At 36.4% G+C, this 24,608-nt stretch overlaps 1 protein-coding gene and 1 long non-coding RNA gene across 8 annotated transcripts in view; both read left to right on the top strand.

Annotated features, from left to right (window-relative positions):
• CAMKMT (calmodulin-lysine N-methyltransferase) overlaps positions 1-24,608 on the top strand; it is a 410,646-nt gene that overhangs the window by 39,167 nt on the left and 346,871 nt on the right. The gene's annotated exons all lie outside the window — the stretch shown is intronic.
• Positions 20-20,800, top strand: LOC124907759 (uncharacterized). Its single transcript, XR_007086304.1, has 2 exons — positions 20-93; positions 10,900-20,800. It is a non-coding gene; the product is annotated as an uncharacterized LOC124907759 (long non-coding RNA).

A 24,608-nucleotide genomic window follows, 5' to 3' on the forward strand; every position in this document is an offset into this window, starting at 1 on the left:
AAGTACAAAGTAGTAAAACATTCTTTCTACACATGTTGAAGAAACTACTGCAAGTTAAATTTGGATAAATATCTCAGTATCTGATGCATCCAGGTACTTGGATGATTTCTGTGAACTATATCTGACTTCTCACCAGCAAACATGTTTTAAAAATAATACAAAGACGGGGCACAGTGGCTCACGCCTGTAATCTCAGCACTTTGGGAGGTGAGGCGGGTGGATCACCTGAGGTCAGGAGTTTGAGACCAGCCTGGCCAACATGGTGAAACTCCATCTCTACTAAAAACAGAAAAATTAGCCAGGCATGGTGGCGGACGCCTGTAGTCTTAGCTATTCAAGAGGCTGAGGCAGGTGAATCTATTGAACCCGGGAGGCGGAGGTTGCAGTGAGCTGAGATTGTGTCACTGCACTCCAGACTGGGTGACAGAGACTCTGTCTCAAAAAAAAAAATAAAATAAAATTTAAAATAGCTACATTGCTTCACCAATGAAGAATTTACCCTGCTAACAATTTTTAGAATTTTGGCAAAAAAATGGCTTGAATAACTACATTAAATATGAATTTAATGGCTTGAACATATTGTCTCAGGACATGATTTTATTTGTACATTTTTAAGGTTTAATATATTTTCAGTTAAAATTATCTATATGTAGATCAATTTCTTGCTTTCGGAGTCTTTTCTGAAGCCTTCTGATGTCTTCCAGTTTGACCTCTACACCAGCAACAAGCATCTTGACATCTTCCCTCACTATCATCTTGAGGATTCATTTCATTTCTTTTGTTTTGTATCTCGTTCTAAATTCCATGGCTTCCTTTTTGTTTGGTCTGTTGTTTTGGAGGATTATAAACTCCAGTAGCTTCCTGAGAAAGTAAGGGGAAGTAATTTTTTGAGAACTTGTGATACTTTGGTTGGATATAAAATGATAGAATTGGCCGGGCGCGGTGGCTCACGCCTATAGTCCCAGGACTTTGGGAGGCCAAGGCGGGTGGATCACCTGAGGTTGGGCGTTCGAGACCAGCCTGGCCAACATGGTGAAACCCCGTCTCTACTAAAGATACAAAAAAATTAGCCAGGCCTGGTGGCAGGTGCCTGTAATCATAGCTACTCGGGAGGCTGAGGCAGAAGAATTGCTTGAACCCGGGAGGCAGAGCTTGCAGTGAGCCAATATCGCACCATTGCACCCCAGCTTGGGTGACACAGCAAGACTCTGTCTAAAAAAAAAAAAAAAAAAAAAGATAGAATTTAAAACAATTTCCCCTTCAAAGTTTTACAGTAATGTGTCATAGCTTCTAGAGTTGCATTTGAGTAGTCCAATGCTATTCTAACTTATCATTTTTATGAAACTTGTTAATTCTCTGTTGATTGAATCTTCTGTTATTCCCATTATTCCAATATTTTATGATAAAATATCTTTGTGTGGCTGTATTTTCAAACATTGTGTTGGACATTTCTTGGGCACTTTTCAGTTTAGAAAGTCATATTTTTCAGTCTGGAAAATTTTTTTGAATTACTCTTTTAATGACTTTCTTCCATCTGTTTTCTCTGTTTCTTTCAGAAACTTCCATTTTTTGAATGTTGTGCATCCTGGACAGTTCTCTAATTATCTTTTCATCTTTTGTTTTGCTGTTTTTTTTTTTTTTTTTTTACTTTTTCTTTACTTTTAACCTTTCTGTTGAGTTTTTTATTTCTATTTTTACGCTTTTTAATGTCCAAAAGTTCTTTTTCTCTTTTCTTAGCTTTTTCCCCCATAGCATTCTTTTCATATTTCTTAATTGCCTTTCTTGCTTTTTTTGAAGATATTACTGAAAGTTTTTTTTTTTTTTCTGTCTTTATAGTCTTTGTTTCCTTTAAATCGCTTTTTCTGTTTCTTTTCTTTGGTCTCTGTCTGTTACAGTAGAGGCTTTCATTACATTTCTGATGATCCTTAAGAGTTGTGTACTACAAAACTGATTGGAAGGGACACTGATATTACAGTTTCCTCTGTGGGATGATCTGGTTGGGTTGATTCTTAGGGAACCCTGGCTGTCCATATGGTGTTTCCCTTGAGCTGGCCAGTTTATCAGAGAAAACACTTTTGAGTTTGCTGCTTTGGGCAGTATGTATACCTTAGCAGCTAGCATTTTGGAAGATGGATAAGAAGAGTCCTCAGTTACTCAACCCCCTGATTCAGTTACTCCACCCCCAATTAAAAAGTATTTTACCTTCCTTACCACCACCCTCCTTGAGCTGCACGAATGCCTTCCAGTCTGGAGAGACTAGACCCGAAGACATCTGACAGGATGGAGCAAGGGTAGTTGCACAAATCTTTGGAATAAGAGATGAGATTTCAAGATCTAATTGTTTTGTAAGTAGATTTTCAACAAATTCTTCTGTGTTTAGTCCATCCTTGTACTCTACTCGTAGACATGTAACTCCGGTTGCTTCTTAGCTTCTCACTACTGCTGATTTAAGATTCAGCTTTTTGTGCCTTTATGAACCTTCATTTTGTTTCTAAATGTACTTACTTTTATTTTAGGTGGGGTGTCAGGAAGAGAGGGAAGCTAATAGGTAGATTCACTCTAACATCTTTAGCTGCCATCTTTAACGCATACACACATATATGCACTCATATACATTAATTTCACATAAATGCTATAATCACTTAAAAATAAGGTAATAAAATTTTTAATACTTCATTTAATTAGACTACATATGGTTCTTGTCAAATCTACACTAGAACAGCATTTCCAGTTTACATGTATTGAGATAAATCACCAAGGCTTTGCATAAATTTTAGAAATTCTTTCTTCCCTAATTTCTGAATTCTTCAGCCTTCAAGATTCAACTCAGATGTCACCTATAAAGCTTTTCCTGACTCTCCTAAGCTATAGTTTATTGGTCCTTTCTATGTTTACCTATAGACTTTTTAATTTAATATACCATTAAAACATATCACATTGTGTTATAACTATGTCTAAATCACTTACTAGACTGTAAGCTTCCAGAAGGCAGGAGTGATGTTTTGTTTGTACAGTGCCTGGCATATAATGAATACCCAATATATGCTTTGTGGATTAGTGAACTTATTATTTAAAAAAGCAAACCACACTTTAAGTAAATAAATTAGGATATGATTATTTTAGAAAATATTCACTATACAAAATAATTTACAATGCATTTAAAATTTCATTACATGGCTTGTTTTCCCCTCCAGGAACATGTTCATATTAGTATCATTTTTGCATATGTGTGTACATATGTATGCATTTTCCATTGTTCTTCTTTAGTAGGGGTGTTACTCGTCTTTTAAAATACATACGTGTTATTTTGTTACATATTGGCGATATTTTCCCCTCCAGATATCTTTTGCTAGGAGAGCACTAAGTTGCTATTCATCTAGTTTTTTGATCAGTGCAATATATTTTAAGCAACTAGTTCAAAAATACATTCAAATAGCATGCCCTATTCCTCATGAATTGCTATTTCTTTGCTTAAATTTCCCACTCAGACCACCAGCAATCCCTTAAGTACTTTTCCTACCAGCTAATGCTAGCTTTTAAAAATCTACTTAATGTTTCTCTTTTCTTTCTCTTTGTTGCCTCTGTCACTTAATATACCTGTGTGCCTGTCTCGATATTGTTCCTTCTCAAGGTCTTTTTATGCTTTTAGGATGATCTTTCCTAGTTTCTTTTTCTACTGTCTTAGATGCTTTGATTCTGCTGTTTCTCCATTGCAGAGAGCTTAGTGGAAGGAGGAAGTGAATATTAAGAGTGTCTTTTTAAAAAAAGATGTTATGTATAATATTAAAGAGAATATAAATGCTGGTGGTTACTATATAACTAGTGCTCCAAAAAGGATTTTGATAAACTTTTAGAGTCTTTCATGGAGGCAAAAATACGAAAATGCGTTGTGTTTAAATTTCTTAGACAAGGGGAAAAGGGAGCATTGAAATTGGGCAATTGTAAAAAATGAATGATAGATACATGGGAGTTCATTATTTTCTATCTCTATGTTTTTGTGTATATTAAAATCTATCTAAATACAAGGTTTAAAAGAGGTTAAGTATCATTTTTCATTTCTTTTGACCCAATAATCCCACTTTTGGGTGTCAGTCCTCTAGCTCATAAAGACAGATGAGCAAGGATGTTAAATATAGCACTATTTGGACTGGAAAGGAACATAACTTGAAAACAGTCTGACAGCTGTACTTCCATTACTAATGGAATTGTTGGATAAATTATAGTGTGTCCATACAATATTATATAGCAATCAAAAAGAATGGATTGAGTTATATGCTATATTCTGGAGGGATGTCCAAGATGTATTTTTAGGTGTTGAGTAATGCATAAAATGTAATTTCATTTTAATAAAAAGAAGCTATGAATATTGCAAAAAGCTGTGAAGGCATATATACCAATTTATCAAAGTTGCTTATTTTAGGAAATCGGAACTTGAAGGAATGGGGTAGAAGAAAAATTAACTTTATTAATCTTTGTACTTAATTTGTTTCAAGTATGTGTTACTTTTGGGGAAAATGTAATGAAGATTTGAAAAAAATTTAAAAATAAAATATTTAAAAAATGAATGTCAATTCATCCAAGATAATAATAACTCATTTTTAAAGCTGTAAAGAGACACAGAAAGTGATATGCATAAGAAACTAAATGATGAATTAGATCATAATTTGCCTTTGGAAAGAAACATAAATGGATTGATAGCTCATGCCTATGAAATGTATATTCAACTCTGATTCTATTCCCAAACTTCTAACAGAAATTGCTGGGTAATAATTAGAAAGGAGACTTTGGCCTTTTATATATTAATTCAGTATTCTCCTAAAATCTGTGCCTAAACTTTAAGCCTTTTTGTTATGGTAACTGAACCAATCAATTTCATAGTTAAAGATGTCCCATTTTCAACAGACCATATTTAACTTGGAACCAAGGGTATCTAGTTATATCAGTTAGGGTTCTTTGGTTGTGAGCAACAGAAACTGAGTCTAGCCAACTTAGACAAAAAGAAATGTATTGGAAAGATACTAAGCAGGTAATAGAATTCATGTTTCACCTGACAGTTGGGCATTTCTTTTTGTGTTTTAGTATGCCTCTAATTATATTCTCTGCTTTCAATTATAGCATTGCTCCAAAAGTTCCTAACCAAGCGCCTTTGTCATTTTGCCTTAAGTCTTTTTTTTTTAATTACCATTTTTTAAAAGGGGAATTTATATAACATCTGTTGTTCAAATTGTGCCCTAGTAAATGTTGAGTTTGGAGTTATAATAAGTTTGATTTATTATAAGAGATATTCCTATTCAGATACTTACAGATAGTTTCAACCTACATATTTTATTTTAGAATTGTCACCCTTGAGTTTCTCTTTAATACCACCCCAGTGTCTTTGTGTGTGTGTGTGTTTAGCACATTTGTTTTGTTTATCTTTTTTGTTGTTGTTGTTTTATTGGTAAGTTTTCTGGGGAGATTAATTGTAAAATGTTTATTAACATTAAATTATTATTATTTTTGAGACAACGTCTCACTCTGTTGCCCAGGCTGGAATGCAGTGGCACCATCATGGCCTACTGCATCCGCAACTTCCTGGACCCAGGTGATCCTCCCACCTCAGCCTCCCAAGTAGCTGGGACTATGGAAGCGCACTACCAGGCCCTGCTTGTTTTTTGTATGGTTTTGTAGGAACGAGGTTTCTCCATGTTGCCCAGCCAGGCTGGTCTAGAACTCCTGGGCTCAAGCAATCCGCCCACCACACCACATCTTCCCAAAGTGCTGGGATTACAGGCGTGAGCCATTGCGCCCAGCCAAATTATTTTTTTATATCTATGCTATTCTTTATAATTTCTGTCTACTTAACTGGAACAGTCTCTTGTGCTTTTTAATTGGATTCCAGACATCGTGTGTAAAAGGACAGCAGGGACTAAGGTAATAAGATTCATGCCCAAAAGTGGTCATGCCTCTTCTGTTAGGTCATTAGTGTAGGAGATTAAGTCAATTTAGGCAGTAGTGAAACTGAGTTTGGTTTTGTTGTTGCTGTAGTTATCTGCAGTTGTTCTGGTGGGCTATCATTATCTTGTGCTTAGTTTAGAGCCTGGGGTCTTAGAGAGTTTTTTTCAATAATTTTGCTCCCTTCACAGCTTTCAGCAGACTTTGCACCCCTGTATGACAGATCTCTGTGCTCCTGAGCCTCTCTAGAAGTAGACTGTTAAGTTGGTTCAAGGCTTGTGGTAGGGCCTGGAGGGCTCATTCTTGGCCATACCCTGTGCACATGAGTCTCAGGGGTTAGACGTTTTCAATGTTTGTGCTTCTCCCCAGACGGCAATACACTTTTGCTTTGTATTAGTGCAGGATCCTTGGCATGAGTGGGTTTTCTCCCCTTTCACAGCAGCAGGTGTCTTTTGCCTAGTGTCAGGGCAAGGTAAGAATGAGGTGGAGATTGTCTTGGCCAAGTTAACCTTATGAACCTCTGCAGTAAAATGGAAATGATACTACTATCTGATGTAGCAGTGAAACATTTAGTTTACTTTATTTGGTACTATACAGATGTTTGTTAATTAGGTAATATTTAATGCAGAAGATATGGGTTGAGCCATGGCTAAAAGGATTAGGACTTAGATGGGCAGACTGAAGGCAAGAGGGCATCTTGGGTAGGTTAAGATAAAATAATGATAGGCAGCTGCAATTTGATGTGAAAGTATTTTTTCTTAAATCAGTTATTCTATACCTCAAGATGTCATTCATTCATTCAGTTAGTCAGTCATTGTCTCTTGCTGCACTTTACTAAAAGTTGGGGCTTCAGAAGCATATGGCTCAACTGTAATAGTAAGTTGTACTAATAGATTTCCCAGTATACTGGGAATGATCAGGGAAACTTAATTGAGGCCTGGGTTGGTTTAGAGGCAGAAGACAACAGTAGAGCATGTCTTTTTTTTTTTTTTTTTTTGAGATGGAGTCTCACTCTGTCCCCAGGCTGGAGTGCAGTGACGTGATCTCGGCTCACTGCAACCTCCACCTCCCAGGTTCAAGCGATTTTCCTGCCTCAGCCTCCCGAGTAGCTGGGACTACAGGTGCACACCACCACGTCCAGCTAATTTTTGTATTTTTAATAAAGATGGGGTTTCACCATATTGGCTAGGCTGGTCTCGATCTACTAACCTTGTGATCCACCCACCTCGGCCTCCCAAAGTTCTGGGATTACAGGCGTGAGCCACCGCGCCTGGCCGTCTTTTACTCTTTATAGATTGCTATAAAGAGTTACTTGTAAGTAAAGTAAAGATAATGACAATAACAGTAAAATGATAATAGTAGCTCTAGTTTATAGAAAGGTTTCTTGTTTTTTATTGTTTGTTTTTGTCTAGGCATTGACCTCTTTTATTAAAGCCCTGCAATACATAAATTATTATTTCCTATTTATTTCTTTACATCTTCAGATGAAGAAACTGTATCTCAGAAGAGTTAAGTGAGTTGCTCAAGGCCACTCAGCTAGTTTAAATTAGAGCATGACTTTGAATAAGGTTAGTATAACTTCAAAGTCTGAACTCATTTTGTTTTATTACTCTGCCTCCCAAGACTCAGATATCTAGTAAGGAAAGCTAGTATTCAGAAACATCCAATCAAGAAGCTCCTATGTTAAATTTAATTAATTAATTAATTTTTTTGAGACAGGGTCTTGCTCTGTCACCCAGGCCAGAGTATAGTGGCATGATCATGGCTCACTGCAGCCTCAACTTTCTGGGCCCAAGCAATTCTCCCACCCCAGCCTCCTGGGTAGCTGGGACTACAGGTGCACACCACCACACCTGGCTAATATTTGTATTTTTTATAGAGACAGTGTTTTGCCACGTTGCCCAGGCTGGTCTTGAACTCCTGAGCTCAAGCGATTTGCCTGCCTCGGCCTCCCAAAGAGTCAGGATTACAGGCATGAGCCACCGCACCCAGCCTGCTTCTATATTTTTAATTTTTAGTTGTTATTTCAGCCGATATATATATATATATATATATATATATATATATATATATATATATATATATATATATATATATATATATATATATATATATATATATATATATATATATATGTATATTGCTACATAAAGACAACTAGCCAAAATTCAACGTAGTATCCAGCCAGTGCTTTGTTATGAATCCGGCATTCTTGCAGGTATGTATTATCTTAATAGTTAGTTGACATTTGGACTCCTAGAGATAATCATGACTTACTGGTGATTTCTACCGTGACATTTGTTATGTTCTTCAGACTCAGAAACATTTACACTTTCATATCATGTGGGGTTGTATGATTTACAAATTAGGTATTGGCTGGTTTTTTATCTCCTCTTGAAATTTCACATGAATCTTGGTTTGATTCTAAAAGTAGATGTTATTGCGTTATCACAAATAAGTAAATTTGGAATTTTGTCAAGTTTTTATATACTTCTTTGGCCTCAAAGCATATCTTAAAGCCATTTTATAGTAAGACTAGCAACTCTTACAGTGGCAGATTTGGATGGCTAAATATTAAAAAACATAGAAGACTTGACATTGTTGTAAAAATGTGAGATCATACATTATGTCTTAAGATGGTAATAGAAAACATTTTATCTTTAATTGTGGAATACTCTGTAATTTATAGATATTTTAATAAAATAATTCATATGGAAAATCACTGTTTTTTTAATTGTCAAAATGCAGAGAAGCAATATGATGGAGATGTATGTAAGGACTGTGTCGTTTGTTCATTCAGTAATTCAGTTAACCAATATTTACCATGCTAGACAATCTGTTAGGTCCTGGGGTATAAAGAGAAATAATATCTGGTCCTTGTTCTCAAATGGTTTAGAGTTTAATGAAATAGACAAATAATTTGATGAACTATAATATGTTTTAATAAAAGTAGGAAATAACTGCTGTGGAAGTATAGAGAAGAGCTGAGAGCTGTGTATAGTTTTTAGTATGTTTTCTTTATGTAGCATGGTTTTTATATATCTGTAGAAAAGTATGAAACTGGTAGGGGGTATTTTTCAGCAGTTTCTTACCATGTACTACCAAAGAAGCAGAATGTGAGAGACCAGTAATCCAGTAGTAATACGTGTATCCTGACAAACTTAAGTAATTAGTCAGGTATCAGTATATATATATATATATTTTTTTTTTTTTTTTTTTTTTTTTTTGAGACGGAGTCTTGCTCTGTCGCCCACGCTGGAGTGCAGTGGCGCGATCTTGGCTCACTGCAGGCTCTGCCCCCAGGGGTTCACCCCCTTCTCCTGCCTCAGCCTCCCGAGTAGCTGGGACTACAGGTGCCCGCCACCTCGCCCAGCTAATTTTTTTTGTATTTTTAGTAAAGATGGGGTTTCACCTTGTTAGCCAGGAAGTATATTTTACAAGACTCTTTTTGTGATTTATCAGCATACTTTCATGCCAATGTAAAATGTGGGAGATCTTAAAATTGAGAGGTACAATCAACCCTGAAATTCCAAATCTATTGAAAGCCCAACATAGACTCTGATGACTGTCATTTCACCTAAAGGGAACATATTCTAATTAATTCAAAGCAATATGTCAGTTGCCTGTTCTTTAATATGCTAAAAGACGGATATAGTAATTTGGAGAAATAACTTCATTAACAAGTGAAGGATTGCTGAAGCAAAGAGTAATTGTCTGATACTAATGGGATAGCAATATACCCAGAGATTAAAGAGTTTTAAGAGGTTAAAAACAAACAAATTCTGTTTAAGGATTGGTGAATTTTAGCTCCCCACCCCCCATCTAAAAATGAAGCAATTACTTTTTAAAATGAAATGTATCATTATGTATAAAATTAATTTTTAAAAGTAATTGATAGTTCTAAAGTAATAAATAACTTTTGGTTAAGATGTTCCTATTGGGATTATATACCTTAATAAAGGAAATGTAATCTTTTGAATACCCATCTTGAGTGTTATCAGAAATGGCCTTTACTGTCATACCCATTAGTTCCTACTTGTAGAATTTCTAAAAGTTGAAAATTTGATTTAGTTTTTTAAAATACTTCTCTTGTTTGAACAAATGTAATTTGCGGTCTTTATAGACAAAACCTTGTACATTATATTCCTGGGCATCCAGATTTGTTAGGGTAGGTATTTTTGTGAGTAATATTCTGGCTAGCTGAGCATTCATTCGTTTACTCATTACATATTTGAGTGACTATTGCGTGGCAAGTACTAGGCTAAGCACTGGGGATACAAAGGTGAAAAAAAGACATTGTCTTATAGAAAAGTGACATTTGGTTTATAAAGTTTCTGAAGATTTAGACTCCAAGGAAATGTATACTTTATACTCAATTGCATGTATTAGAAAATTTGACCTTGGTCATATGTTATCTCTAGATTTTAGCTCCCTCATTTATGAAGTGAATGCATCTGGATTAGGTAACCTACAGATTCTCAGAGAGATTTTAATAGTCTGTCGGTGCCTCATGATTCTGAATAAGGGTTAAAATTTAGAAAAAAATCCTGAGTACCAGACTTTTTTTCATATTTTATTCATTAGTATATTGAATATGCAAATAAATACTGCCTTGGACAATGTAACATTATTGTCTTTCTCTTATGTATTGTATCCTTTCCCCAAGTTTTGTCTCAAGTATTTTTGTAAAATTCCATTCATCAAACTATTTTTTAAATGGTTTCCACCAGTTGCCTTAGTTTTTTTAAAGTCATCATTCAAGGTAGTCTTTTTAATTTTTTTTAAATTGGCATCCTGGGGGCTTCAATTTCAGCTAAATCTTTAACCTCTCTTTCATTGTTGATTCATTGCCCAAAGTATCATTAACATTATTAAGAAACTTTGGCTTTGGATACATAACCAATTAATATGTAACATGAACATTCTCTTCAATTTTTTTTTTTTTTTTTTTTTTTTTTTTTTTAGCAGACAGTGTAGATTTGCACTGAATCCTCCGTAATTCTTCAGCCAGGACTCTTCTAGGATAAAGACATTATCAGAGAAAACACAGCATATAAAAGTAACCACAAGGAGATGGAACTGCTTGTCACGCGCATTACGTTTCAATGTATTGACTCCAATAGCTAGTGATAACCCACAAAGAGTCTGTCCATTTATTCTGTACACCCCCTGCGATGCCTGTTCTACTCCCGTACATACAATGGGGGTTCAAACCAAAATAATGGCTAGCATATCTTTGACACAAATTGTTTTTGGGCCATTATAATGTTTGTTTAAGTTTTTTTTGTTTGTTTGTTTTTGTTTTTGAGACAGAGTCTGGCTCTGTCGCCTAGGCTGAAGTACAATGGCACAATCTTGGCTCACTGCAACCTCTGCCTCCCAGGTTCAAGCAATTCTCCTGCCTCGGCTTCCCGAGTGGCTGGGATTACAGGTGCCTGCCACCACGCCCAGCTAATTTTTTGTATTTTTAGTAGAGACAGCTTTTGCCATATTGGCCAGGCTGGTCTTAAATTCCTGACCTCAGGTGATCCACCCATCTTGGCCTCCCAAAGTGCTGTGTTTACAGGCGTGAGCCACTGGGCCCAGCCAGGTGAGTCTTTTGACTCAATACATTTCATTGAATTACTTACAAGCCTTCTAAAACTATTTTGACACTGAATAAGTAAATAAGCAGTAACTTAAGCAATAGGAAACATCCTCAAAATATCCTAAAAATTCAATTTGGAATGTAGTTTAAAAATAAAGAGGCTGGGCACGGTGGCTCACGCCTGTAATCCCAGCACTTTGGGAGGCGGAGGTGGGCAGATTACCTGAGGTCAGGAGTTTGAGACCAGCTTGACCAACATGGTGAAACCCCGTCTCCACTAAAAATACAAAAATTAGCCAGGTGTGGTGGCGTGCGCCTGTAAACCCAGCTATTAGGGGGGCGGAGGCAGGAGAATGGCTTGAACCCGGGAAGCAGAGGTTGCAGGGAGCTGAGATTGTGCCACCACACTCCAGCCTGAGCAACAGAGCAGGACTCCATCTCAAAAAAAATAAAATAAAATAAATTAAATAAATAAATAAATAAATAATAAACTAATGGTGTTATCTATTCTGTACAGTTCTCTGGGGGCTGATTACAAGTGCTGAATGGCAGTATTAATCTCTGTTGTTTTTCACTTGAGTGATCCTATACATTAAAGTCACAGTGTACATTGTTTCTCTGCTTGATTTCTCCTCATCTCAAAATGTAGGGTCAAATGAAAGAGGCAGGTAGATATTTAGAGAAGAGCATTTTAATCTAAATATAACCATCACGTACTATTAGTAAAGAAATTAAGAGGCCAGGCATGGTGGCTCATGCCTGTAATCCCAGCACTTTGGGAGGCCAAGGCGGGTGGATCATGAGGTCAGGAGTTCAAGACCAGCCTGGACAACGTAGTGAAACCCCGTGTCTACTAAAAATACAAAAATTAGCCGGGCAGGGTGGCATGCGCCTATAATCCTAGCTTCTTGGGAGGCTGAGGCAGGAGAATCGGTTGAACTGGGGCGGTAGAGGTCACAGTGAGCCAAGATTGCGCCACTGCACTTAAGTCAGGGTGACAGAGTGAGACTCCGTCTCAAAAAAAAAAAAAAGAAAAGAAAAAGAAATTTAAGAAATGGATCCATGGGAAATATATACATTTGTTGAATTGAAAATTATTTTTCAACACTTGGCTTATATCTACTGTGTTGTTCACTTAAAAAGCAGGCAAAATGAAGATGATGCTTTAAAAGGAGTTATAGTTAGAAATTTGGAACTACCATACTGTTCCAGAAGACTTGATTTAATATCTGGTCATGAGTTGCACAATTAATAAATTTTAGACCTCATTCAATATATTTTCATGCCTGATTTATCCTTGTTTGAGAACTCAATACAAGATTCATAGTAATATTTTAGCTTTCTAGACAGGATATTTAGTAGCCAGGCTCAGGGTGGCATTGTATTGGTATGCCAGTTGGTAGGCCTTTTGACTATACATTGGCAGGATAACTTGAATGATACCCTCTCCCAAACCTGTCCCACATCCTCATATCTCTGGCAACTCTATTGTAGAGTAGTTAGCCAGAGGTGATTGCTTGTAGGGGAATATAATGGTTATTTTCTGGTTGTTCCAAAGGAAAGAAAATATTATCTCCATGTATTATTTATTGCTATATAGCACATTGCCCCAAATTTAGCAGCTTAAAACAAATATTTATTATCTAACAAAGTTCCTGAAGATCAGGAATTTGGGTATGAATGGTTCCTATGGTTCTGGCCCAGGGTGTCTTTATCAGGTTGCAGTTAAGCTGTCAGCTGAGGTTGCCGTTATCTCAGTGCTTGACTGGGACTGGAAAATCTTTCCGGGGTCACTCACATGGTTGTTGGCAGGCCTCAGTTTCTTGCTAACTGTTGATTAGATGCTTCAGTTTTTCACCCTGTGGGCCTTCCATGAGGTTCACAATATGGCAGCTTCCACTAGAGTGTAAGATCAGAGAGACAGAGAGTGGACACCCAAGATGAGAGTCATAGTCTTTTATAACCTAATTTCAGAAGTGACATACCATTACTGCAGCCATGTGGTGATCATACAGACCAACCCTAATCCCCTGAGAGAGGGGACTACACAGGGTGGAAATATGAAGATGCAAAGATCATTGAGGACCATCTTGGAGGCTGGCCACCAAACTCCTCGTGATGGATATCATCATTGGTAGTTCTCTAGCTGGCTATCTGTAAGTCTCCAAAGCTACACTTGAACTGTCTAGCATTTAGATTAGTACAGCTAGAGGAGCTAAGTTTGAATTTTTAAAAAATCGGCCAGGCGTGGTGGCTTATGCCTGTAATCCCAGCATGCTGGGAGGCCGAGGCGGGCGGATCACGAGGTCAAGAGATGGAGACCATCCTGGCCAACATGGTAAAACCCCATCTCTACTAAAAATACAAACATTATCTGGGCATGGCGGTGTGCCTGTAGTCCTAGCTACTCAGGAGGCTGAGGCAGGAAATCACTTGAACCCGGGAGGCAGAGAATGCAGTGAGCTGAGATGGCGCCACTGCACTCCAGCCTGGTGATAGAGTGAGACTCCGTCTCGGAAAAAAGAAAAAAAATTCTGGGTATTATTCTTACTAGATATGTGTCAGATTATCAGATCACTTGGTGTTAGGCCTGGTATGTACAACTGAGTTACTAAAAGATTTCATCAAGTAGGTAGCAGATATTTAGGAAGAGTACTTAAAGAAAATGACTTGTTTTTAAATTTTCCTTCTTTATAGGTCCAGGTTTAGTTCACTACAGAGGATAATTTTGTTTGCTTTGCAAGACAGCCAGACTAGAGGTTAAATGTTTTTTTTGACAGTATGTGGTTACAAATCAGTCTTGCCAGTCCTATGTTAATTCGTTATTTCCACTGTCTCCAGACTCTGGTGATAGTGATACAAATTAAGATAATCACATGAATAAATTAGTGGCAATAATTTCTTTGAGTCTTTTTCTTGGCCTTTAAGTTGGTCACTTTGCATTACTTGTATAAATTTCTAATGTAAACAGAGAGCAAATTGTGTGTGTGTGTATGCACATGAGTGAAATCTATAATGAAATCACAGTTTAGAGAAGGAATTATACGTTTAAAGTCTTCAATTTTATGAAAACAATGATTCCACATTTCTTCAAGTGGCTGCCATAGAATGGAAATTGAAATCCCTGGGTGGGAAGTGTGCTAGAAATCATAGTATTCCTTTTCAAAGTATTTTGCATCCCCTTATACATATATTCAGTACTTCATTTCTAACCCCTACACACTAAATCATGCTGTGATTCATAATACTCTGTTATGTTTTAAATTCAAATATTGTTTTTAAAGGGAAATTGCTACTAATGTTGGCTAAGCTGCACGTAATAGTTTAGTAAATGGTTGTAGGTTTGATTCTTCTCATGTCAATCTAAATGTGAACTAACATTATTCAAAATCCTTTTAAGATACTGAATAATTGTTTCAGTTAACTAAATGCTTCATCAAGTAATATCAATTTATGAAGTATGGTTGGGTTTAGGGCATTTATTATTTAAAGAAAAAAGCAATAGGTACATACCTACGTAACAATGTTAATGGATATGTTTTGGGTGCCATGTGTTTGAAGAAAGAGGGATTTTCATATCTTAACAGAACAAGTATAGATCATTGAAAAAATTTAAAAGTAATGTATGATTTAGTTTACTCTTATTTAATTTGTTAAAATATCAGCTTTAATGAGATATAATTTACAGAAATGCACCAATTTTGATGTACATTTTAATGAGTTTTGAAAGTTTTATACATTCATGTAACCTATGGAACATTTCTATCACCCCAGAATGTTTTCTTCTGTTTTTCTTCCAGTCAAATACTACTTCTCGGGTAAAAACTGATCTACTCTCTGTCACTATTGATTAGATTAAACTCTTCTCGTGTTTCATATAAATGCATTCTTATATGTTCTCTTTTTTTTCCCTAATATATTTCACTTAGCATGATTTTTTTTTTTTTTTTTTTTTTTGAGATGGAGTCTTGCTCTGTCGCCTAGGCTGGAGTGCAATGGTGTGATCTTGGCTCACTGCAACCTGTGCCTCCTGGGTTCAAGTGATTCTCCCTGCCTCAGCCTCCTAAGTAGCTGTGATTACAGGTGCCCACAACCACACCCGGCTAATTTTTGTATTTTTAGTAGGGACAGGGTTTCACTATGTTGGCCAGGCTGGTCTCTAACTCCTAACCTCAGGTGATCCACCCGCCTCAGCCTCCCAAATTGTTGGTATTACAGGTGTGAGCCACCGCACCTGGCCAGCATGATGTTTTTGAGATTCATCCATATTGTGGTGTGTATCTGTTGTTCGTTTCTTTATTTTTTTCACTTTTTTTAGAGACAGGGTCTCCCTCTGTTGCCCAGGCTGGAGTGTAGTGGCCTGATCATGGCTCACTGAAACCTGAAAATCCTGGGCTTAAGTGATCCTCCTACCTTAGCCTCCTGGGTTGCTGGGATTACAGACATGTATCATCATGCCTGGCTTTGTTTCCTTTTTATTCCCGAGTAGTATTGCGTTGTATAAATATGGCCACACTTTGGGAGGCTGAGGCGCGGATCACGAGGTCAGGAGTTCAAGACCAGCCTGACCAACATGGTGAAACCCTGTCACTACTAAAAATACAAAAAAAATTAGCTGGGCGTGGTAGTGCACACCTGTAATCCCAGCTACTCAGGAGGCTGAGGCAGGAGAATTGCTTGAATCCGGGAGGCAGAGGTTGCAGTGAGGTGAGATTGCACCACTGCACTCCAGCCTGGGTGAAAGAGGAAGACTCTGTCTCAAAAAATAAAAAATAAAAATGAAAAATAAATATGCCCACAATTCATTTATGTATTCATCTATTGATAGACATTCAGGTTGTTTCCGGTTTTGGGCTGTTTTGCATAAAACTAGTGTGAACATTCATATACAAGTTTTTGTGTGTGTGGACATGTGTTTTTCTTTCTCTTGGGTAAATACCTAGGAGTAGAATTGTTAGATTGTATAAGTGTACATTTAACTTTGTAAGATATTACCAAACTGTTTTCCCAAGTGGTTGTACTATTTTACATTGCCACTAATAATGTATGAGAGTTCCAGTTGCTTCACATTTTTGCTAATGCTTGGTACTGTCAATTATCTTTAACCATTCTGCTAGGTGTGTAGTGTATCTCATTGCGGTTCTATGCAGATTCCTGATGACGATGACGTTGAACATCTTTTCATGTGCTTATTGGTCATTCATATATCTTCATCTGTGAAGTGTATGTCAAATGTTTTGCCCATTTTAAAAATCAGATTGTCTTAATGAGTTGTAGGCCGGGCATTGTGGCTCATGCCTGTAATCCCAGCACTTTGGGAAGCCGAGGCGGGTAGATACCTGAGGTCAGGAATTTGAGACCAGCCTGACCAACATGGCGAAACCCCATCTCTACCAAAAATATAAAAAGTAGTCGGGCATGGTGGCACGTGCCTATAATCCCAAATACTCTGGAGGCTGAGGCGGGAGAATCGATTGAACCTGGGAGGCAGAGGTTGCAGTGAGCCAAGATCGCGCCATTGCACTCTAGCCTGGGCGACAAGAGCGGAACTCTGTCTCAAAAAAAAAAAAAAAAAGAATTGTAAGAGCTTATTATATACTCTGAAGACAAGTCTTTTGTCAGGCATGTACTAAGAGTATTTCCTCCTTTGTGTATCCTGTTTAAAAAAATCTATGAATTTTTTTTTTTATGTGTTCTTCTAGAAGTTTTATAGTTCTGGCTTTTATATTTTTAGTCTATGGTCCATTTTGAGTTAATATATACATATAACATGAGGTAGAAGTTAAGGTTCTTTTGTTGTTGTTTTTGTTGTTGTTGTTTTTCACGTGGGTATTTGGTTGTTTTGGTATCATTGATTGAAAACACTGTCATTTCTCCATTAACTTACTGTTGCACATCCTTTTTGAAAATCATTTACCCAAATACGTGTTAGTCTTTTCTAGAGTCTGTATTCTGTTTCATTGATCCATCTTTTATGCCAATGGCACTACATTGTCATGATTATTATAGCTTCATAGTGAGTCTGGAAATGGGATAATGTAAGTCCTCTGAATTTGTTTTCGTTTTTTCAAAATTGTTTTGTCCATTCTAGGTTCTTGCATTTCCATACAAATTTTAGGCTAAACTTATCAATGTCTGCTAAGAAGTCTACTACAATTTTGATTGGATGGCACTAAATTTGTAGCTGAATTTGGGGAGAATTGACATTTTAACAATATTTGGTCATCCAATCTATAAACCTGATATGGTTGTCTCTTTATGTAGGTATTCCTTAATTTCTCTTAGTAAAGTTTTGTATTTTTCATTTTACAGGTCTTGCCTATATTTTGTTAAATTTATTCCTAAATATTGCATTTTAAAAATAATATTTTAAATAATCTTTTAAACATTTTAATTTCCTGGTTTTTGTTGCTAGAAATCAGTTATTGAAACAAGGAAATATATTTCAAGCTAAATTATTAGAAAAAGCCCTTTTGATTTAAAGTATGTGCTATTTATGAGATCTGAAGAAGCAGGCAAACTAAAACTACTTTTCCAGATTCCGTCGCAGCTAAGGTGCTAAATATGAATTAGGTTGTACCACTTAGATGCACTTAGATGAGATTTGAAATGTGGACCTAAGATGATGCCTTGGCCAGCTCTTTCTGCTGGAAAGCACAGTGATGGACATGTTGAATGTTTCTACAAAAGCATTCCAGTGTTTGGTCATTAGCTTCATGGGTGAAAGTGGAAGGTACGATGGCAGCTTCCTGATCCCTAAATCTCAGGTATGTATTCTTGAACTCAGCAGTTCTAGTGGTGGCCTCCTATTCCCCCATCTGGAAGAGGAAAGAAGGCAGCAGTGAGCCAAAGGATGTTCGCAGCTTCTAGAAGCTTGTAATGGCAAGGAAATAGATTCTCCTCTAGGCCTCTAGAACAGATAGTAATTTGCATACATCTTGATTTTAACCCAATGTTGTTGTTAAAAGACAGTCTCGCTCTGTCACCCAGCCTGGAGTGCAGTGGCACAGTCATCACCGTAACCCTGAACTTCTGGGCTCAAGTAATCTTTCTGCCTTAAACTCCCAGGTAGCTAGGACACAGGCGCATGCTAAAAATGTTATTTTTCCAAGAGGCAGAGGCTGAGGTAGGAGGATCACTTGAGCCCAAGAATTCAAAGCTATTGTGCACAATGATCACACCTGTGAATAGCCACTGCACTCTAGCCTGGGCAATATGGTGAGACCTCCCCTCTTTAAAAAAATTTTTTTTTTCTTCTGTGGTTGCTAATATCTTTTTTAAAGTGCAAAGAGTCGTCTCACAGTCATTAGACACAATAGATGATGTAATGCCATTGTTTCTTTTTTTAGTATTTAGAGCTTTTTGCCATCTGAAAAATACTCATACAAGATTGCTGATCGCCCAAGTTTAGGTGAATACTCAGGAGAGGAAATTACACAATTATTTTAGATAATTATATGTAAAGATTTATTAATTGTGTAAATGTAATGTGAGTTTAATAATAGGATATAGCTTAAATCTCTGGCTTCTATTTGAAAAATTTCTAAGGATCACATCCAGGCATATGAAATAAAAAGGTGACATGTTAATCTGTGTATAATTTGTATATTTCTGCATAATTATATGGTCAAGTCTCAGACTGTTTTCTAATTAATATTTACTGTTGCTTTCATATTGTTTTTATCTTTCTTTAATCTTAGAATCCAACCAATACTTTTCTCTACATTGCTAGAGGGGCAATATATATGTAGAGATAAATAATAAAGTTGACTCTTGAACAATGCAGGGGTTAGGAGTGCTGACTCCTCCCTAATCAAAAATTTGCATATAACTTTTGACTATTAATAAACCTACAGTTGACTTTTTTATTGATGAAAATCCATGTATATGTGGACCTGTGCAGTTCAAACATGTGTTGTTCAAGAGTCAACTATATATATATATATTTTTTTCTCTTCTTTTTGTGAAAACTGTCCAGGAGTCAACTGTGTATAAAACCTGGGAGCAGTGAGGCACCTCCCAGACAATATCTGCATTATTACTAAACCCTAGAAGATAGTGTGGATAATTTGGAGCTAAAATAATTTAATTATATTTTTTAAAATATTTGTTGATAGGTTTGTACCCAGGGCTTTCATTCAAGATAGAGTATCATTTATTTCATAGCCTATATTCCACTAGCAGAAGCTTACTTTTTTTTTTTCCCCCCTTGGGTAATTTTTTTTAATTGTCTAAGGGATTAACTGTCACCTCATTATCTTTGTTAATCACTTTCAGAGCTTTTCGCTATTGTTCATCACAGTAGTCAAGAGGATCACAAAGAAAGTGCTAAATCCTTATTTACAAAGAAAATTGATTCTCAGCTTTGCTTATATCTGCTATATATTTCCTTTGAATATTTGTTAGGGTAGCAATGGTTAAAATTAAATATTTATTGAGAAGTGATTTTTAATGTTGTGGGAAAATATTTTATGTCAGAAAAATATTGAATTTCAAAACCATGGAAAATAGAAAAAAATCATTAAGAGACTTGACTAATGTCTCCTCAGAATGGTTTACAATATTCTGCTATTCATTTACTTTCTTCATGAGCAGTGATCTTGAAAGTTTTGAAGAAAGACTTTTGTCTTTTGTTAAATACTTTGGAATTTTTTTGGCAATGTGAAGAAATTTTATTTACATGTTTGATAAGAACATCCACAGACATCTCTTTTAAAGATAAAAAACTTCAATATGAAAATTGAAGTTATAAACTAAAGATCCTCTCTCAGCTAAGAATTCCTTTTTAGAAATGTATAAATACAATTATCCTTTAATAAATAAACATATCTTCAAATTTTCTCAGTAATGTGTCACTGAAACACATTAAAAGATGACATCGCTACTCACAATAACAGTACAAAATGAAGAAAATAATTGAAACATAGATCAAGGATGTTAAAGATGGGTGAAAAAAATTATCTTGCTTTTTATAACTAAAGTTTGTTTAATATTCATAACAGGCTTATAGAATTCTTAATTGTTCCAGGTAAAATACCTAATTTTCTTTGTTTTGAAAGCATTCTCTTTTTCTTACTAAATCAAAAACAGAGAAAACTTAGGGTACACGAATCAATTATGGTTTTTAGAACAACAATGGATAAGAATGTTTTAAAGATTTAGGAATCTTTTAATCTCTGTGACGTTTCATCATTTCCATTCTGTGTCGAGTTTTTGGTTGCAAAGTAATAGAAACTGATGTTGAATAACTTGAGTAGAAATAAATTCATTGGATATCAAGCAATTCTCAGAGTATATTTTGAAGGCTGGAAAATGGGACTTGGGAAATAAAGAGGAACCAAGGCAGGCTAGGCCCAGGAACCTCTACACAGATCAACCTGCATGATACAGTTTGGATATATGTCCCTGTCAAATCTCACATTGAAATGTAATCCCCAGTGTTGGAGGTGGGGCCTGGTGGGAGGTGTTTGAGTCATGGAGGTGGAGTCCTCATTGCTTGGTGCCGTCCTTGTAATAGTGAGTACTTACAGAATCTGGTTGTTTAAAAGTGTGTAGCTCCTCGCTTGCACTGTCTCATGAGTAAAAGCTCCCTGAGGCCTCACCGGAAGCTGAGCAGATGCTGGTGCAATACTTATACAGCCTGTAGAACTGTGAGCCAATTAAACTTCTTTTCTTTATAAATTACCCAGTCTCAGGTATTTCTTTATAGCAATGCAAGAATGGACTAGCACATTAATGTTGACTAACTTATGTAGAAATAAATTTGCTGAATATTGGGCAATTCTCAGAACCTGGGAAGGCTAGAAAATGGGGCTTGGGAAATACAGAGGGACCCAGCCAGGAACCTCTACACAGATCAACGTGCAGGATCAGTCTTGTTGTATGGATGCTCCTCTCAGACACACATCAGTGCTAGCACTACTGGATTCTTAATGCTACTTCTGCTGTTGCTGCTGCAAATACTTTATCACCTGTATCTGTATTTTGCCTTACTCCCTCAAGATTCAAAGTCCAGAATTGGACTATCCAAATATATTGGTCATTAGTTGGAACATAAATTTCTTTTTTTTTTTTTAATTTTCAAACATCTCAACAGCCAGATGGAGCATAAATTTTATCTTGTAGATCAGTGTTTTACTCTCACAAAGTTTTGTCTCCCAGTTGACACTCTAATGGAGTTTCCAGTTCAGCTTCTCTAAGAGGTGAGCTGCTTTTTGATGAAGAGATACATAGAACCAGTGAATTCTCTGGGTTATCAGCTCATGGCTTTATTTTTATCACTGTAAGGTGAGCTCCTTGTTCAGAATCAACGTGGTATGGTATACCAAATGTCCATTACACCTTCAGTCTCAGATTTTCTTTCTCATCTTCACTCTGTATCTTCCACCTGCAGCAGCAATAAAGGTATCACAAACAATTATTTTTTAGAATTCCTCAAGAGGAATAATATTTGTTCTACTGATCATCCTGGTTTCAGTAGAATTATCCTAGGAGTGAGCAGTAATCATATGCACAGATTCAGACATCAGGACTCTATTTTATTTTATTTTATTTATTTATTTTGAGACAGAGTCTCCCTCTGTCACCCAGGCTGCAGTGCAATGGTGCGATCTCGGCTCACTGCAACCTCTACCTCCTGGGTTCAAGTGATTCTCCTGCCTCAGCCTCCTGAGTAGCTGGGATTACAGTCATGCACCACCACTCCTGTCTAATTTTTGTATTTGTAGTAGAGACGGGGTGTTACCATATTGGCCACACTGGTCTCGAACTCCTGACCTCAAGTGATCCACCTGCCTGCCTTGGCCTCCCGAAGTGCTGGCATTACAGGCATGAGCCATCGCGCTGGGCCAAAACCCTTAACTCAAATAGCACTTCAAGCATCAGTTCTCTGTCTCCTCCCTTTCTGTTTTCCTGTGCTGCAGAGATGCCATCTTATAAATAATTCTGTGAGCCTAGTTATCACAATGAATTGTAATTTTGTTTTGTACATCATCTTCCTCATGGACTATGAACTGCTGGAGAGCAGGAAGTTTTAATTTGTCTTTGTGTTTTCTGCACTTAACACTACATTTGGGACACAGTAATGGCTCAGTTTTTAAAATCAAAGTAAAATATACATACAGTTAAAATAAAATATATTGAAGGCTTTATAATGAAAATCAACAGTCTCCTTTTCTAACCTGTCCTGCTTCTTAGAGGCCAACATTTTTAACTTTTCTAAGTAGTCTTCTGGCAGTTATTTCCATATTTCTTTAAAAATATGTTTATCATGGTATTTCTTGATTCATCAATTTTAGAAAATTTATTGACCACCCGCCAACATTCCTGAGATATGTATGTATGTATGTGGGTGTGTATGTAGCTGTTTTTGTTTTTATGAATAATTAGCATGTATATTATTTGAACTATGCAAATTACATTCATTACAGAGCCAAGTAGTGTTTTGTAATTATATTTTCCATCTTACACAGCTTTCTTTTCTCGTCCTCTTATACTATTTGCTATTATATTTCCTTTCTTATGCCACTTCTATACCTTATATATTATCTAATGTTTCTGTACCGTATGTATTTCTTAATTTTTTTCAAGCCCTCCTGTAGTGGGAGCGGTCGCAGACAAAACCTCTTGGACACCGGTTTTAGGAAGGAATGGGCTTTAGTCAGCTGGGAGCATCGGTAGACGCTCATCTCAAGGTCCAAGCTCCCCAAAGTAAAGATTCCTGTCCCTTTTATGGGCTTACAACTCTAAGGGGTCCATGTGAAAGGGCCGTGATACATTGCGCAAGTGGGGGCTATGTGACTGAGGGCTACATGCATCAGTGATGGGGGCTAGCAGAACAGAACAGAAGGTTTCACAATGTTTCCTCATACAATATCTGGAATCTATAGATAACACAAGCAGTTAGGTCAGGAGTTGATCTTTAACTACCAGGCCTGACGGAATACTTCTCAGCCATAAAAAGGAACGAATTAATGGCATTCACAGCAACCTGGATGAGATTGGAGACTATTATTCTAAGTGAAGCAACTCAGGAATGGAAAACCAAACATCATATGTTCTCACTCATAAGTGGGAGCTAAGCTATGAGGATGCAAAGAATGACACAGTGCACTTTGGGGACTTAGGGGGAAAGGGTGAGACGGGAGTAAGGGATAAAAGACTACAAATTGGGTGCAGTGTATACTGCTCGGGTGATGGGTGTGCCAAAATCTCACAAACCACCACTAAAGAACTTACTCATGTAACCAAACACCACCTGTTCCCCAATAACTTATAGAAATAAAAAAATTAGAAAAAGAACACAGAGTGGAATGGGGACAAAACTGTAAAGTTTTTGGGATATACATGATCTAGAACATGAAACAAAAAAGTACCCGTTTTGATAAATAGATTTCATATCCTCCTGTAATATTCACAATTAGAACACATTCAATATTGTGACTCAAAGTTAAAGAATAAAATGTTGCATATTTTCAAATTGCATGGACTCCTTTAGAGATTCTGAATCAGAATAATAAAATAATTAAAAATAAACATAAAGAATAATGAAAAATAAAGCTATCTAACAATAGTTAATGGCTGGGTTTTTAAATGAATAAAACATTATCTTATCATTATCTTACCAAAAGACAACAATATTTCAAATCTACTTATGAAGACATTAATGATATGACTATCTAGTGTCTACTAACCATTATTATAACAACCATTTTGGTGGAGATTTACTACCTTGTTAGAAGAATATCATGGCTAAAAGAAGAGAAATAGCAATTGCAAGTTATCGTAGAAGTATAAAGACAAGGTCATTATAGACTGATAGTTAATAGAGCAATAGAAAAATGACATTTGATATGAACTGTTTTGATTACAGAAAAGGCTGAGACTCATTTTTACATTCATATATTTATAAGAAAATTCCAGGTTTATAAGATTGATCCTTCAATTATTTTTTTCTTTTTTGTAACATACAATGAGTAATTGATGTTACATTTTTCAAAGGGCAAAAGATTTGTTAAATCAAAAGCCGTATGTATAAGGTAGAGAGTATTTCAGGGAGACCAGTGTATTATCTCTCTGGTTCTATGTA

Source organism: Homo sapiens, chromosome 2 (genome assembly GCF_000001405.40).
Source record: "Homo sapiens chromosome 2, GRCh38.p14 Primary Assembly".
Lineage (NCBI taxonomy): Eukaryota > Metazoa > Chordata > Mammalia > Primates > Hominidae > Homo > Homo sapiens.